At 39.3% G+C, this 17,423-nt stretch overlaps 2 pseudogenes; both read left to right on the forward strand.

Annotated features, from left to right (window-relative positions):
- LOC650024 (cancer/testis antigen 55 pseudogene) lies at positions 2,475-15,976 on the forward strand (annotated as a pseudogene).
- LOC124905298 (uncharacterized) lies at positions 13,189-13,261 on the forward strand (annotated as a pseudogene).

A 17,423-nucleotide genomic window follows, 5' to 3' on the forward strand; every position in this document is an offset into this window, starting at 1 on the left:
AAATTGGGTTCTCTTGCATATCAGTGACTCAGCCTCACTTATGTACATGAATTGCACCATGGAGTAAAATGTTACTCCTTCCATTAGAAAAGCTACGCTGGAAATAAGAGTTGGACTAGTGATTAGACAAACATTTCTATAAGAATAGAGCGACAAGGCTTTAGATGACATGTACCAATAAGTATGTTATTCATTATGAGTTAATAGATGGAGAAAATTTCCATCCTTGGGAAGTTTGGGATCCTCATGGGATAGGAGTTTTCCCAATCCATATCTTTGTTTTTCAAAACTCAATAAGTGTATAGATTGCTTCTATTTGTCACAGAATGTCAATGTCAGCTCTCTGTTGTCTTAGCTTGGTCTGCTATAACACAATACCACGGACATTTATATCGCACAGTTTTGGAGGCTAAAAGGTCCAAGAATAAGGTGCTGACTGATTCGGTTCCTGGGGAGGGCCCTCTTTCTGGCTTGAAGATGGTCACCTTCTGGCTATTTCCTTCCATGGAGGAGTGGGAGCAAATGCTGGCTTCTCTTCCTCTACTTCTAAGGATACAAATCCCATTATGGGACTCTAGTCTCATGACCCCATCTAAGCCTAATAGCCTCCCAAAGGCCCCACCTCCCTATATGATTACATTGGGAATTACAAAGAAATTTTAGGGGAACACAGATTTTCAGTCCCCCAGCCACTGTGAGGGATGTTCTTTATGCTGTCAGAATAACTTGTACCTTTTGTTTCCTTTTCTTTCTTTCTTTCTTTTTCTTTTTTTTTTTTTTTTTTGAAATGGAGTCTCCCTTTGTTGCCCAGGCCGGAGTGCAGTGGCATGTTCTTGGCTCACTGAGACCTCCGCCTCCTGGGTTCAAGAAATTCTTCTGCCTCAGCCTTCCCGAGTAGCTGGGACTAAGGTGCATGCAACCATGCCAAGCTAATTTTTTTGTGTGTATTTTTTAGACGAAGTTTCACCACTTTGGCCAGGCTGGTCTCAAACACTTGACCTCAGGTAATCTGCCCGCCTCAGCCTCCGAAAGTGCTGAGATTACAGGCGTGAGCCAACGTGCTCGGCCACTTTTTGTTTCCTTTCAATGGAACTTCAAAAATAATATGCTTTTCACCCTTTGTATATACAGTAGCCCTTCAACTATACAGAGGATTAGTGAATGAAGTTTCTAATCCACATATTTAGGGTTAACTGGGGCAAAGCTCTGAGGAAGTGAAATTGCTGTAGGATGAGGTTGCCCCAGCAGGGTGCACTCCCTTCCACTTCTTATGAGATGAACACAAGTGCTAACTCATCTGAGTCCTCAGTTGTGGATGTTTAGACCGATAGGCCTTAACCAAGCCCAAGACTTCACTCTTCTGGCCAGGCCAGCAGCTCTAGAAAGAATCTCATGAAGCACTTAACCCAGGTTGTCCTGGGTGACTATTACAATGAAGTGGTGACTAAAAGTCAGTTTTGTGAGGAGTTCCACAGGCAACAGAGAGCCTTTTTTCTAGCCCTCCCATCCCTGTAGAGCAGGGCACCCAAGTTTAGGAAGGCAGGCATGGAGCCTGCCAAAAAATGATTCCAAGAAGGACTCCTGCAAGCCAGGGTCCATGAGAAGAGGGAGTTAGAGAACAGATGGAAGGTTGTCCACAGTAGGAGAGCATATACGGTAGGATTGTGCAAAGAAGTAAATACACAGAGGATAATGGAAGGTCGGTTTCTCCAAAGCTGAGAAGGAAAGAACACATGTGGAAAGGTGGAAAGAGGAAAATATAGAATAAACTCCATATTCCTGGGCTGGTAATGGAGGTGTACGTGCAACCTCAGGTTTGCCAATAGATATAAGAGCTTCAATTTGAAACACTGTATTCTCCAACACCAAGAGAACAGGGATCCTTGTAAATAGGGCTGATTAGGTAGAATATGAAATTTTGACAAAACAGAGAACTACACACTAAGCATAACAAAGAGGAGTTGTTTACATTCATAGAACATATCCCCTTGGTAGATGTATAATTAAACTTTTATGCATCTCACAAGAGGAGTGAAATGACGAACCAGAACCTCTAAAAGCTACAGGTGGTTAGAGGATGAAACCACAATCATGATGAGAGACTTCAAGGTGCCTTTTTGATTAACAGTATGCATAATCATGATGAGACGAACACTAGGTACAATCTACTGGTCCCTGATTAGGCTCCAGTTACCTAAATAGAACTTTATGTTTTGAGAATCATTGCAGGCATCAGGCCAGAATTGGCAGAAGGGTCATAGTTTGCCAGATCCGGCTAAAGATCATTATCTTATTTCATTTTCTTCATTGCATGTATCCCTAAATGAGCTGAGAAGCATCTGATATCAGCACATCTGCAACGCCTTCACGGCGTGGGGCCAGTTGGAAGCTCCATGGCAGAACACTGGAGCCCCAGAAACTCGTGGGGACAGGTCCCTGTATATTCAAGCCAATTCTCTCCCACATGGGAAAAGCACATTTCTGTGGTGATTATGGCATGATTGATGAGTCGATCTACTTCAGTAGTGATGTTGTGACTGGCAACGTGCCTCTAAAAGTTGGACAAAAAGTTAATGTGGTTGTGGAGGAAGATAAAATACTTTATGGATTGAGAGCTATCAAGGTGAAATGTGCATGAGTTTGGGAGTTGTGTCTTATCCCATTGGGCTTTCTTTCTGCATCTTTCTTTTCTTGTATTAATCCAACATCTCTACTGTGATCCGTAGAGTGGATGTAGACTGCAATTTGAAGCCCCACCCCTCTGAAGCTGTAGGTTCTTGTGTTCTAATATTTGTAGTGATATCTGCTTTAAAACATAAAAATTACTCATCTATTCTTCTAATCTTTAAACAGTATGGGTAACAATATTAATTATTGGACTCTAGACAATCCTGCAACTTCCTTTATCAGGTAAAAAAAACGTTTTCTATTGTGTGCATTCATAGCAGTAGAATTGCTATGTGAAACCATGTGCCTTGTAAACATATTAAAAAGAGCTTCATGGAGGTATAGTTCACAAACCACAGAACTCTCTTAAGGGTACAATTCAATAACATTTGGCAGATTTACGGAGTCCTGAGAACATCACCTGAGTCCAGATGTTTACCCATTCAGTGGCTACTATGAAATTATTCTTTAGCTGTACTGTACTAATTGATTCTCTCGGCAATAGGAGGTGAGACTGCCTCTCTGCCCCTATAGGCAAGGACGACAATATTCTCGATCTGAAATCTTTGCAAATATGAGAAGGGGAAAGCAGTCTCATCGTTCACTTGGAATTATTAAGGATCTTAATGAGATTACAGCAGGTTTCCTTTCTTAGACCTACTTATACATTAGGAAAATTTACCGCTATCTCTATGGTAGGAAAATTAGATTTGTAATAGGAAAGTTTGTATGTGACGTCCTTGTAGTATTTCCTCTGATACCATCTTTTTTCTTTGCTTTATGTCTTTCATTCTTTTACAGCCTTATTGAGATATAAGTCACGTGATTCACCATGCAATTCTCCCATCTACAGGGTACAATCCAGTGGTTTTTAGATTTTTCACAGGGTTAGGCAACAATCACCACAAACAACTTTAGAACATTTTCATCACTGTAAAAGGAAGCTCCATAACCATTCATAGTCTTCCCCTTTCTCCCCGATCCCCCACTGTCCCCTCCCCCTACAACATCCAGCCCCAGGAAATCACTTATCCATTTTCTGTTTGTATATATTTGCCCATTCTGGACAGATAAAAAAGGTTCCTTCTATATAACTGTAATGATATGTCCTTTCACCAACATCTCCTCATTCCTCCATCCACCCTAACAACCCAAGCATCTGGCAGCCACCATTCTACTCTACACTGCTATGAGGTCAAATTTTTAAATTCTGCATGTGAATGAGACCATGCAGTTATTTGTGTTTATGTGACTGGCTTATTTCACTTACATATCGTTCTTCAGGTTCATCCATGTTATCCCAAATGGCAAGATTTTGTTCTGTTTTATGGCTGAATAGTATTCCATTGTGTATTTACACCACATTTCCTTTATCCACTCATCCATAGATGGACACTTAGATTGCTTTTGTTTCTTGGCTGTTGTGAATAGGGTTGCAATAAACATGGAAGTGCTGACATCTCTTTGACACACTGATGACACTCTCTTTGGATACATGCTCAGTAGAGGGATTCATGGATTCATGTGATAGTTCCATTGTTAAAATTTTGGCGACCCTCCATACTGTGTTCCATAATGGCTGTAACAATTTACATCCCACCAACCATGCATAAAGGTTCCAATTTCTCCACATCCTTGTCAACACTTGTTATCTCTTGTCTTTTTAATGTTAGCCACTCTTACATGTGTTAGGCAGTATCTCTGTGGTTTTGATTTGCATTGCCCTGATGATTAGAGAAGGTGAGGATTTTTTTATGCTCATTGTCCATTTGTATGTCTCATTTTGAGAAATGTCTATTCAGGTCTTTTGCTCATTTTTAATAGGATTATTTTTTTTCTTGCTATTGAGTTGGAGTTACTCATACATTTTATAAACTGACCCCTTACTAGATGTATAGATTGTCAATGTTTTTCCTATCCTGTAGATTGTCTCTCCACTCTTTGATCATTTCCTTTGTGGTGCAGAACCTTTTTAGTTCAATGTAATCCCATTTGTGTGTTTTTCCTTTTGTTGTCTTTACTTTGGAGGTCCTATTTTTAAAATTGTTGCCCAGAACAATGTCATGGAGCTTTTCTCCCTATGTATCCTTCTAGTAGTTTCATAGCTTTGGGTCTTCCTTTTAAAGCTTTAAATCATTTTGAGTTGATTTACATACATGCTGAGAGATAAGGGTGGAAATTCATTTTTCTCAGATGAATATCCAGTTATTTTCAACATCATTTATTGAAGAGGCTGTACTTTCTCAAGATTGTGTGTTCCTGGGCCTTTTGTCGAAAATCAGTTGACTGTAAAAGCACGGATTTCATTCCAGTCTGTGTATTCTGCTCCATTGGTTGAAGTATATGCTTTTATACTGGTACCAAGCTGTTATGCTTACTGTAGCTTTGTCATATGTTTTGACATCAAGTAGTATGGTGCCTCCAGCTTTGTTCTTTGTATTCCAGACTGCTTCAGGTATCTGGAATCTTTCACGGTTCCATACAAATTTTAGTAGTGCTTCATCTATTTCCAAGAAGAATGTCATTGGTATTTTTTTAGCAGTTGTATTGGATCTGTAGATTGCTTTAGGTTATGGACACTTTAACAATATTTATTCTTTCTGTCCATGAACACATGATATATTTCCATTCATTCCTGCCTCATTCAATTTCCTTTGTCAATGGTTTATTGTTTTCAGTGTTGCAATCCTTCACCTTCTTGGTTAAATTTATTCCTATTCTATTTTTTGAATTTTCTGTAAATGGGATTGTTTCTTGATATCTTTCTCGGATAGTTCATTATTGGTGTATAGAAACGCTACTGATTCTTGCATGTTGGTTGTGTGTCATGCCACTTTCCTGAATTTGTTTATTAGACCTAGTAGCTGTTTGGTGGTGTCTTCAGGGTTATTTATATGTAAGAACTTCCAGTCTGCAAACAGGGCCAATCTAAATTCTTCCTTTTGAATTTAGATGCCTTTTGTTTCTTCTTGTCTAATTTCTCTGGCCAGCACTTCCAGAACTATGTGCGATAGAATGGGCAAAAGTGGGCTTTCTGTCTTGTTCTAGGTCTTACAGGAAAAGCCTGCAACATTTCCCCATTCAGTATGACATTACCTGTGGGTTTATCATATACAACCTTTATTGTGTTGAGGTGCACTCATCCTATACCTAATTTGTGGAGCTTTTATCAAGTAGGGATGTGGAATTTGGTTAAATGCTTTTACTGCTTAAATTGGAATGATCCTATGGCTTTTGTGCTTCATTCTGTTCATGCGATATGTCACATTTATTGATTTGTGTATGTTGAAACTTCCTTACATCCCAGGGATGAATCCCTCTAGATCACGGTGAATGATGTTTTTAATGTGCTGTTGAATTTGGTTTACTAATACTTTCTTAAAGATTTTCGCAACTATGTTCATCAGGAATTTTGGCACTTCTTTTTTTTCAGTTTTCTCTTCTTTGTGTTTCTTTGTCTGGGTTTTCTAGCAGGGTAATATGATGTGATAGAATGCATTTGGATGTGTTCCTTTCTTGTCTGTTTTTTTGAAAGAGTTTTAAAAGTATAGCTATTAATTCTTCTTCTTTATATAGAAATTTTGGTAGTATTAGGAAGGGAAGCCATTCTCTCTTAGACTTTTCATTGATGGGGGATTTTTTTTTATTACTGAATCACCTTCCTTACTTGTTAATTGTCTGAACAGATTTTCCATTTCTTCACTATTACATCTCGGTAGGCTGTATGTGTCCAGGAATGTATCCATTTCTTCTAGCTTGTCCTATTTGTAGGCAGATGATTGTTACAATAGTCCTTATGATCCGTTTTATTTTGGTGATGTCAGTTGTACTATCTCCTTTTTCATCTTTGATTTTATTTACTTGAATATTCTCCCTTTTTTCTTTTAGTCTAGCTAAAATTTTGTTGATTTGGTTTACCTCTTCAAGAAAACAACTGATTGTTTCATTGATATTTGTATTGTTCTTCTCATGTCTATTTGATTGATTTCTGCTCTTACGTTTATGATTTCTGTCCTCCTACTTTGGATTGCATTTTTTTCTTTTTTTTTCTAGTTATTCAAGGTGGAGTGTGAGGTTGTTTATTTAAGATGTATCTTTTCTTTTGAGGTAGGCTTTATTGATGTAAACTTCACTTTTAGAATTGCTTTTGCTGTATTTCATGGGTTTTTGTATGTTGTGCCTTCAGTTTCCTTCATCTCAAGAAATGTTAACACTTCGCTTTTAATTTCCTCATTGACCCATTAGTTATTTAAGAGCATGTTGTTTAATTTCCATCCACTTCTAAAGTTTCCAAAGTTCCTAATTTTATTCACTTCTAGTATTTTACTATTGTGGTTAGAGAAGTGATTTGATATTGTTTCAAATTCCTTTAATTTCCTAAGACCTTTTTTATGACCTGTGGGCAGCAAGCCACCCAGGTGCCGAGGCAAGAGACCGAGCACGAGCTGTTCCAGTATAATAAAATATAAAACAAGAATAGTTATGCCAGATATAGATCTTAGATATGATTATATATGAATATCATTAATCATTAGTTTGTAGCAATTACTCTTTATTCCAATATTATAATAATCCTCGCTCTATAACCATAACCTAGGAAAAACCAGGCCATACACAGATAGGAGCTGAGAGGACACAGTGAGAAGTGACCAGAAGACAAGAGTGTGAGCCTTCTGTTATGCCCAGACAGGGCCACCAGAGGGCTCCTTGGTCTAGTGGTAACGCCAGCGTCTGGGAAGACGCCCGTTGCCAGGCGGACCGTGGTCTAGTGGTAGCCTCAGTGTCAAGGAAAAACACCGGCTACTTAGCGGACCGGGAAAGGGAGTCTCCCTTTCCCCCGGGGAGTTTAGAGAAGACTGTACTCCTCCACCTGTTGTGGAGGGCCTGACAGTAGTTGGGCTCAACTGCAGTTATCCGGAGGCCTAACCGTCTCCCTGCGATGCTGTGCTTCAGTGGTCACACTCCTAGTCCGCCTTCATGTTCCATCCTGTACACCTGGCTCTGCCTTCTAGATAGCAGTAGCAAAATTAGTGAAAGTACTAAAAGTCTCTAATAAGCAGAAATAATGGTGTAAGTTGTTTCTCTCTTTGTCTCCTCTCTCTCTCTCTGCCTCGGCCGCCAGGCAGGGAAGGGCCCCCTGTCCAGTGGACACGTGACCCACGTGGCCTTACCTATGATTGGAGATGGCTCACTCTCCTTATCTTGCCCCTTTGTCTTGTATCCAATAAATATCAGTGCAGCCTGGCATTTGGGGCCACTACCGGTCTCCGCAACTTGGTGGTAGTGGTCTCCCGGGCCCAGCTGCCTTTTCTTTTATCTCTTTGTCTTGTGTCTTTATTTCTACACTCTCTCGTCTCCACACACGGGGAGAGACCCACCGACCCTGTGGAGCTGGACCCTACAATGACCTTCCACATAATCTATCCTCCAGTATGTTCCACATGCAGTTGGAAAGAATACGTGTTTTGCAGTATTTGGACGGAATGTTCTGTAATGACTGTTAGGTCCATTTGGTCTGGAGTGCAGATAAACCCGACTTTTTGGGGGGTCAATGTTCTTTCAGGACAATCTGTTCATTGCTGCAAGTTGGGTATTGAAGTCCCCTAATATTATTGCATTGCACTCTATCTCACCATTTAGACCTTGATATTGGCTTCATATATTTAGGTGCTGCTATGTTGGGTGCATATTTTTGGAAATCATTATATCCTTTTCATGAATTGACCCCTTCACCATTATATAATGACCTTCTTGGTCTCTTTTTACAGTTTGTGATTTAAACCCTATTTTATTTGAAGTCAGTTTAGCTGCTCCTGTTCTCTTTTGGTTTCCCTTTACATGGAAGAATATCTTTTTTCATGTCTTCACTTTCAGTTTACGAATGTCCTTAAAGGAGAAGTGGGTCTCTCATAGGTTTGGTTGCTGTTGTTGTTTAAATCCATTCAGCTACTCTGTGTATTTTAGTTGAAGAATGTCATCCATTTCTATCAAGTTAATTATTGATAGGTAAGGATATACTGTTGTCATTTAGATAACATTTTTCTATCTATTTGGTAGGTAATTTCTTCCTTTCTTCCTCTTTTACTGTTTTCCTTGATGGATAAGAGATTTTTCTCTATTAGTATGTTTTGTTTTCTTTATTTGTTTTAATGTGTCTATTACAGGATTTTTTCTTTGTGGTAAGCATGAGGCTTACAAAAACATAATCACGGCAGTTTATTTTACTGATAACATAACTTTGATCACAAAATACAAACACTGTACCATTTAACTCCACCCCCAGATTTTGAGTTCTCTATTTTACACTTTACAACTTATTACATTTTATATCCTTCAACAAATTATTGCAATTATTTTATTTTTACTAGTTCAGTTCTCTATCTGTTACATGAAAGATATAAGTGATCTGGAAACCACCATTACCTTATTAGAGTATTCTGAATTTGTGTAGTTACGTTTACTGGTGAGTTTTATACCTTCAGATGTTTTTGCGTTACTCATTAGCGTCCCTTATGTCAGTTGGAAGAACTCTCCCTAGCATTTCTTGTAAGACAGTTGTGGTGATGAGGAAGTTTCTCAGCTGTGATTTCTCTGTAAAAGTCTTTATCTCCCCTTCACTTCTGGGTACATTATTCTTGGTTAGAGATTTTTTTTCCTTGAGTTCCTTACATATACTATACTACTCTTTCCTGGCCTATTCCGCTTCTGCTGAGAAGTCTTCTGGTAGGCATATTAGAAGTGCCTTGTATACGATTCGCTTCTTTCCTCTTGCTGCTTTCAGGATCCTCTCATTCTCTTTCAACTTTGACAGTTTGATGTTAATATGTCGTGGGGTAATCTTATTTGGATTGCATCTGAATGCAGAACTTTGGTCGTCCAGTACCCAGATGTTTGTAACTTTCTGTGGGTTTAGTTGGCTCTCCATTATTATTTTTTAAATAATCTTTCTACCACTTTTTCAATCTCTCCTCCCTCTTGAATGTGAGAGATTCATACTATTGCTCTGCTGATAATTGTCCCAGAAATTCAGTAAGTTTTTATTTTCATTTCGTGTCCTTCCTTTTTCTTTTGTCTCCTCTGACTGTATATTTTCAATGAAGCTGTCTCCAAGTTTACAGATTCTTTCTTTTGCTCAATCAATTGTCCTCTGGATGTTCTCTATTGTGTATTTCCTTCATTGTGTTTTTTGATTTCAGGATTTGTTTGGATTTTTAAATTCCTTCAATCTTTCTCTCAAATTCCTCTGTTAAATTCTGAATCATTTCTCTGTAATTGTTTTCAAGGTTCACAGAGCATGCTGAAAATAGATATTTTGAATTATTTATTAAACAACTCATACATTCCTATCTCTCTAGGGTCAATTACTGGCACCTTGTTTTGTCAGTTTGGTGATGTCATGTTTTCCTTATTGTTCTTCATCTTTGTGATCATGTGTTTATATCTGGGTATTGATGAAGTAGGTATTCATTTTAGTCTTTACAGTCTAGCTTTTGGGGGACATCCTTTGGCACTAAGCCTGTCCAGAAACTCTATATAGGTCTCTTTTGGTCCTTATGCTTGTGAACGCTACAGCTATTGAAGCACTAGGGAGCTTCCTAATCACAGGGACACAGCAACAGATGCCGCAATGGCATGCAATCCCTTAGCTATTGAGGCTGGTGCCTTGCGAGACTGGAATCCAAGGCTCCACTCATTCACTGAGGACTCACTGTTGCTGTAGATTATTCTGAGCATAAGTCCACTGGAATAACTCAGCAGAGACTTGGGCCAGATATTGGGTTTGTTTTGCTATGGCTGCAGCTTCCTGTCGGGTGCCAGGATGAGTCTAGAGACTCTGTCCACAAGTACCATTTTGGAGTCAGGGGCCATGGGCGTCTGTCAAGTGATGGCGTATATGTGTGACAGGCCTGATATTAGGTTCCCAGGCAATGTCCTATGCTTGCTACTCTCTCTCTCCTCCGGGTGGATGGTATCTCTCTCCATGCTGTGCTGTTGAAGGTTGGGGAAGGGGTGGTATGGGTAATGTAAAACTGTCTTTACTACCCTCTTCAATGCATCTTTTCTTATTTTCATGCTATAACTGGGTACCGTGGTCTCTCACCTGGTTTCCTTCTCTGAAGTGATGGTATTTTCATACAAGGATAGTTTTTCACATTGATGTTTCTACAGGAGGACAATCACTGGAGAGTCCCATTTCTCCATCTTGCTCCCCTCCTCCTCCATCTGTTTAATTTTTACCTACTATAAATATGTCCATCTTGTCCATGTGACTTCTGGGCTCAGGAAGTTTCCTTAGGCTAATTCTAACACACAATTTACACTAGTATTCACTTAGCTTTTCTTCTGAAAGTCATTCATTTATTTACATCTAAAGATACAGTCAGCCTGGGTTTGCTTTCCGTGTGTAGGACTGAGAGAAGGATGGGTGTCTTGTTTCACTACTGGCTATTTAGTTGCCCTGAACATTAATTGGATAATCCACTTAGCCCCCATTTTGTTGAAATGCCACTTCTGTCGTACAACACATTATTGCAAACATTTGAATATGTCTGTACCTGCTATTGTGTTGGTGGTATTTGCAAGGCATAAGAGACAGAGTTGGGAGCCACGAAACATGGGCAAAGCTTTAGTCTGCATATGTCTGTGAGTTGGCGTGGAGTCAAGGAACAGAGAGGTCCGAGGGTGCTGTGGATCATCCACTGCGATACTGACGGAAGTGGTGATAGATATGTGGATGGGAGGCTAATGCTTCATTCCTTCATGACAGTAAGTGAGGGGAAAATAAACATCAGGTTGGTATTGACAGTTGGAAAGACACCAGTTGAGAAATGGGAATAGCAGCAAAGTAGGCTATTTTTAAAACCATGAAAAATGCTTTATAACTCAGTGGCTCAAGTTTCCATTAGAAGTCTCTGATCAGCAAATTCCAACCCTAGGAGTTTATCCTATAGTTAAGTCAGGCAAGTAGTCCAAATGCTATGACACAAGTGAAATGTCCAATTATGTGAAATTGGGTTAGTAAATTACGGCACATCCATTAATTGGGATTCCCTATGACTCTTTCCGTCCTCTCTTGTTATTTAAAAACTTTTGTGCTCATTTAATGTGATATTTTAATACTAAATACAATGCTAATTTACTCTTAGAACAGGCATACATATATGGCACAGACAAAAACATAAGAATCAGTGTTACTGCCAAAATGTAGTCCCTGGTGATCTCTTAGTAATGGAATATGGATTATGGGGTAACCGCCTTTTGCTGTCTGCTTATCTGTTTTTTTCCTTACTTTTAGTACAATGAACTTGCATTATTTTTGTAAGTTTTAAGGATTATAAAAGAAGGACTATTACACTTCCAATAAGGAAAAAGGTTTGTATGCCTCTCTATTGTAGATAAAGTAAAGCCCTAATTTGACTTGGTTATTGAAACTCCCCCAGTTGAGGTTATTGTTTCAACTTTATCTCATGCTTCTCTCTCCTAGGCCTGGATCTCGGATGTTAGGGTTTTGCTCCCTAGGCTCCTAAATTCTGTTGTATTTCCTCTCTGTCTCCCTGCTCCTCTACCCCTGTTTACAATGTTACACCTCTATCTTCTTTCACAACCCAGCACTAGTCTGACTTCCCCCAAGCAATGCTCCTATTTTCTCCGTGTCTGAAATGTTCTCCATCTAGATGATTCACAGAAACCATCTTTGAACTAGTTTTTTATCTTTCATCACAATCTGCTTATGACTACATATCTTTCCACTTTACTATCATTTCACTGTGAATTTCTGCAGGCGAAGGAAGGTTTTTTTTAATCTTGGAATCTAATGGTACAAGGACATTAAACTTGGGTATGCAATTAATGTTTTGGGATACATTTCACAATTCTTGAAGCACGCACATGACTTTTACTGTCATCTCAAGTCAATGGTCCATTTATCAAGTGAACTACATTCTCCAGTGTTTAGGATGGCTGTTGAAAATATTTTCAAATACAAGTGTTTTAATCATGTAAGTTCTCGTGTTTAAATTTGTATTGTTTTTGAAGTAACTCTTTCCTAAGTCTTACAGGTGGATGTTGTGCCTCGCCATCTTTATGGTGCTGGACCCTCAGACTCAGGAACCAGAGTTTTAATTGGATGTGTTACTTCTATATGTGAAGACATTATTTATATTAGTAACTGCATTTATTTCTTCATAGACATTGTTTCTGAAGGTACGATTTACATTTTGAGATATATGATGTAATTCTTAATTTTTTGAGAGGATTTTAATCCTAGAACAACTCTTACAGTGTACTTGGCTTCAGTCAATGGCTCTTCAATGTTAGAGGTAGACCTTTCCAGTTGAAAATATGTACAATATAGGGGCAAATAGGCAGTATTATAAAATGTCTGCTGTCGTCTATTGTGTGTTCATTTGTTCAATGCCCTCAGTAATGCCTGGATATATTTTTCATTCACATAAGAATTTAATTTCTAATCATGGAAACAATCCTACAAGTACACAGAGACACTATTTTTAATACCCTTCAAAGACTATACTTGCAGGGATCATTTCTGTAGTTGGTTACTAGAGAAGTTTCTTGTCTGTAGTTGGTTATTAGAGATATGTACCTAATTTTAAAAGATCTGTACCTAATTTTAAAATACACTTCAAATGCTTCACATGTGAGATTGGAGATAGCGCCTTTTGGCTCTGTGTGTGTGTGTGTGTGTGTGTGTGTTGTTGAATTCTCTTTGTAATCAGCAGATGTGATCTAATATTTAGCTTATACCCAAAGATACACTTTTTTGTGTTATTTTTGTCTATTGCAGCTGCCATATAGCTTGGGTAAAAAAGGGGAGATTAGCTCCGCTTCCCCAGGCAGCTTACTAGTTTGTTTTCTTGGGTGCAAAAGCAGGATTCTGACCTGAATTTTGTTTAAAGATGTTGACTCTGCTTTGTCGAGAAGGGACTATGAGGGGAAGGGTGGAGTCAGGAAAACGTTGTAATATTCCTGGTGAGAGATGATGGAGATGTGAATGAAAATGGAGAAGTGGAGAACCTGAGGATTGAGTTGACTCTGGATATATTTTGAAGTTAGAGAAGAACCCAGGAGGTAATGGATTAGATCTTTGATGTGGAGAAAAGATGAGTCCAAGGTACCTCCAAAGTTTTTGGTTTGAGCAGTGGTGAGGGTGGAGTTGCCAGTTGTGATATAGACGACTGAGGCAAACAAAAGTTGGTGAATACGGAGAATACCAACAACTCAGCTTTACACACGTTAGATTGGTGTAAGCATATGGATAATTGACCCTGAGGTTGGTTAGAGCTGGAGGCATATACATTTTGGAGTTATTGGCCCATAGATATACAGTAAACCCACACAAAAGAAATGTATGTAAATTAACAGAGACAGAGACAGAGAGAGAGAGAAAGAGAGAAGAGTTCTAACCCTGTGTCTTGTATCAGTCTACAATGCTGGGTCCTAAGGTGAATAAATGTTTCACTTTGTTGATATTGCTAGTTTTCTGGAGTCATTGTGGCAACTTAGTGTCTCAGTTGCAGTTGGGATTTCCATTTGCTCCACATTCTTTCATGTACCTTTGTTATCCTGTGACTCACTTTTAACTTACTGTAAACTTCTGTTTGAAACTCAGTGGTCTTAACTGTAACCTGTAAGGCACATACTTAAGAGTTCATCAGCGGAACACAACACCAGGGGAAATTGATTCATTCTGAAAGTAACAACATTTCCTAGTGGTACTGCTACCACTACTACCAATCAACAGATATTTTGTGGTTGCTATGCGCCAGCGATGATTCTGTGCGTATCGCACATATCAACTAATTCTCACAGCAGCTGTGTATCATGAAGGCGACTTATCGTGCTTCTCATTTTATAGATGAAGAAAACGAGGCACAGAGAAGTTAAGCACCTTGGCTAAGGTTGCAAACTGAGTGAGTGGCAGTGTCAAGATTCGAACGCACATGGCCAGGTTCAAACTTGTGCTCTTACCTACACGTTTGACTGCCTCTCACTAAGGAGTTGGAACACAAACAGTTGTTTAGTAAAACATGTGCTGCTCCATCAGATTGGCTGTGATGCACTGTTCACACTTTGCTCCATTTAAATTTGTTAAATCAGTAGAGGAGAATCAATGCCTAAGGATTAAAACTTTTTGAACTTAGAGATTTACAGTGTGTCTGTTTAAATATGCACAAAATGGACTTTAGATTTAGCAGAACTGACTTTAAAGTAGTACACTATCAAATAACATGTGAAATTAAACCTGACCTAGTTAAGAGATCATGACACTCACATTTCTCCATGGCTGTTTTAGATTTTGTGCCTTATAAAGGTAACTGGTTAAAAGTTGAATATTCCACTGAACCAGGCTTCTCAAACTTCAAGGCAAGCTCTGTGAAGTCCACCCATTGCATTCATGCGGAAGCGGTAATTACTTTCCTGTTGCTCCCACCATAAGTTTCTGCGAACCCTTCCTTTGGTGGTAACTTTCGTGCCCAGGATTCTGTTGGGTGTAATGGGAATTCCAGAAAATATGAAGAAATACATTCTTTGCCAACAAAGGAGCCACTTTTCTTATTGAAAAGGCAGAATTTTCCAAAGGAAATAATTAGAAAATTATATAGAACAAGCACATGATTAAGTTCTAAATTGTGCATTTTACTCGATACCCAAATGTTATTAGAATCTTCCAAGGACAGGAGGAAGAAAAACAATCTTTGTGCCAGAAAACTATAGGGAAAGAATGAACGGAGTGTGTTGTGGGACTTGAGCTGACCAGTAGATGCTAAGAATGATTTGGTTATTAAAGCCTGAATATGCACAGGCAATTCAAGGCAACAGAGGGTAATGGACATATTTTGGTAATATTTAGAGCAGGATTTCTCATCAGAGACCCAGGCCTCATTCCCAGAGAGTCTGATTTAATTGGTCTGAGGTGGAGCGTGGACATGGGTATCCTTACAAAGCACCCCTGGTGTTAGCAATGGGCCAACCAGGTTGGAAATCAATGATTTGCATCGAAGTGACCTGCACTCATGCAGGACCCAGGGTGAGGAGGTGCAAAGCTGGTTACAGTGCTTATTGGGCTTTTCCATAATCATTTCCATTATTTATACTCACAGGTCTGCATTACTAGCGTACATGGAAGAAATGGGGTGATAGATTATACTATTTTTTTCACCTTGGATTCTGTGAAACTTCCTGATGGATACGTACCTCAAGTAGATGATATCGTCAATGTGGTCATGGTGGAGAGCATTCAGTTCTGCTTTATTTGGAGAGCGATTTCTATCACCCCAGTGCATAAATCGTAATGACAAAGCATTTTTATTCTGTTTATCTTTCCTTTTATGAGCAGTAAAGGGGCTGGTTTAACTTAAAAGGTTAGCTTAGTAAGCCTAAATAGTATTTTATATATGACTTTTCTGGCAAATCTAATTGAGACACTGGCCAGTCCAACTGGACCAGGAACCCAGCTTAGGGAAATAACTTATTAATTAAAAAGCATGCTAAATTAGCTTGCTAGTCACTGGAGGAAAGGAGTTCTTAATTAAAATGAACACGGCCATTAAATTTGAATTCCATATTTCCCATTAGCAGCAGCGGATTCCAGGATGACGGAGGCCTGGGACGGCCCAAAAGGGAACGTCGGAGCCAAAGCATTTAACTGAAAAGGCATCAGGGACAGCATGTTAAAGGCATGATTTAAAGTTACAATTTGACTTCAGTTTTGAGCCCCGTTATGCTGCCTGTACAACCTGTATTGTTCCATAGCCTCTTTCATCTTCTGTCACCCACATAACTTGCGGTGTTTGTTGTTTTACTTGTTCCTTCTTCCCCATGCTAGAATGTAAACTCCACAATGGCAGGATGTCTTTTAATCTGGTTTTTTTTTTTCTTTTTTCTTTCTTTTTTTTTTTCTGTTGTCATTAAAGCATCACCAAGCACTTAGAAGAGTGCCTGGCAGACTCAATGAGCAGATAAAATGTTATTAAGTTCAATGACTGAATGACTGGGCCAGCAATGATACTTACCTGTGGTTCATTCATCACTGGTTCCTTAGGAATAAAATTGTTGAGCAATGCACTAAGACCTCTCTGTTGATTTTTAAACAACACCAACAACCATAGAAAGTCGACTCTGCTGTACATGAGCCTCTGTGAGCCACTTTGTTGCAGGGGTGCAGCTCATGTGAAGTCACGAAGAAACGTACAAACACAGAGCCCCTTGAGGGAAGGACAAGCTGCTTACCCACTGGGAAAGGTTATACTAAAATCCCACAAGTAAACTCCAGGAAACTTCATGCTTTCTTCTAATAGAATATTTAACCAGGTAGCTGTGACCTAGGGGAAGGGATATATTCAGACCTTTGGGCATAGCTTGAGTGTCGTTGTAAACTTACCCTGAGTCCTGTGATTCATAATTCCACCATTACCACCGGTCCTTGAATAAACAGAGTTGTGTTTTGACTTTCCACTACAGATCCAGTGAGACCTCTCAGTTATCCAGGGATTTGTTTCCCGCTTGATAGAAACAGTGAAGGTCTTGTAAAGTTCCCATTTTCACTCACTGGTTCACTCCACAAAATCCTACTGATTCTCTTTGATGTGCCAGGCACTGTTGAGGCTCTAGAGTTATATCCTTAACCAAAAGGACAAAATTCCAGGCCCTAATGGAATTGTGTTCTTTCAATGCCCCAACCCCACCCCCCCGGCACCCCCACCGTCCTCGGCTTCCTGACCCATGCAGCAGTAGCT

The sequence above is a fragment of the Homo sapiens genome, chromosome X, assembly GCF_000001405.40.
Source record: "Homo sapiens chromosome X, GRCh38.p14 Primary Assembly".
Taxonomy (NCBI): Eukaryota; Metazoa; Chordata; class Mammalia; order Primates; family Hominidae; genus Homo; species Homo sapiens.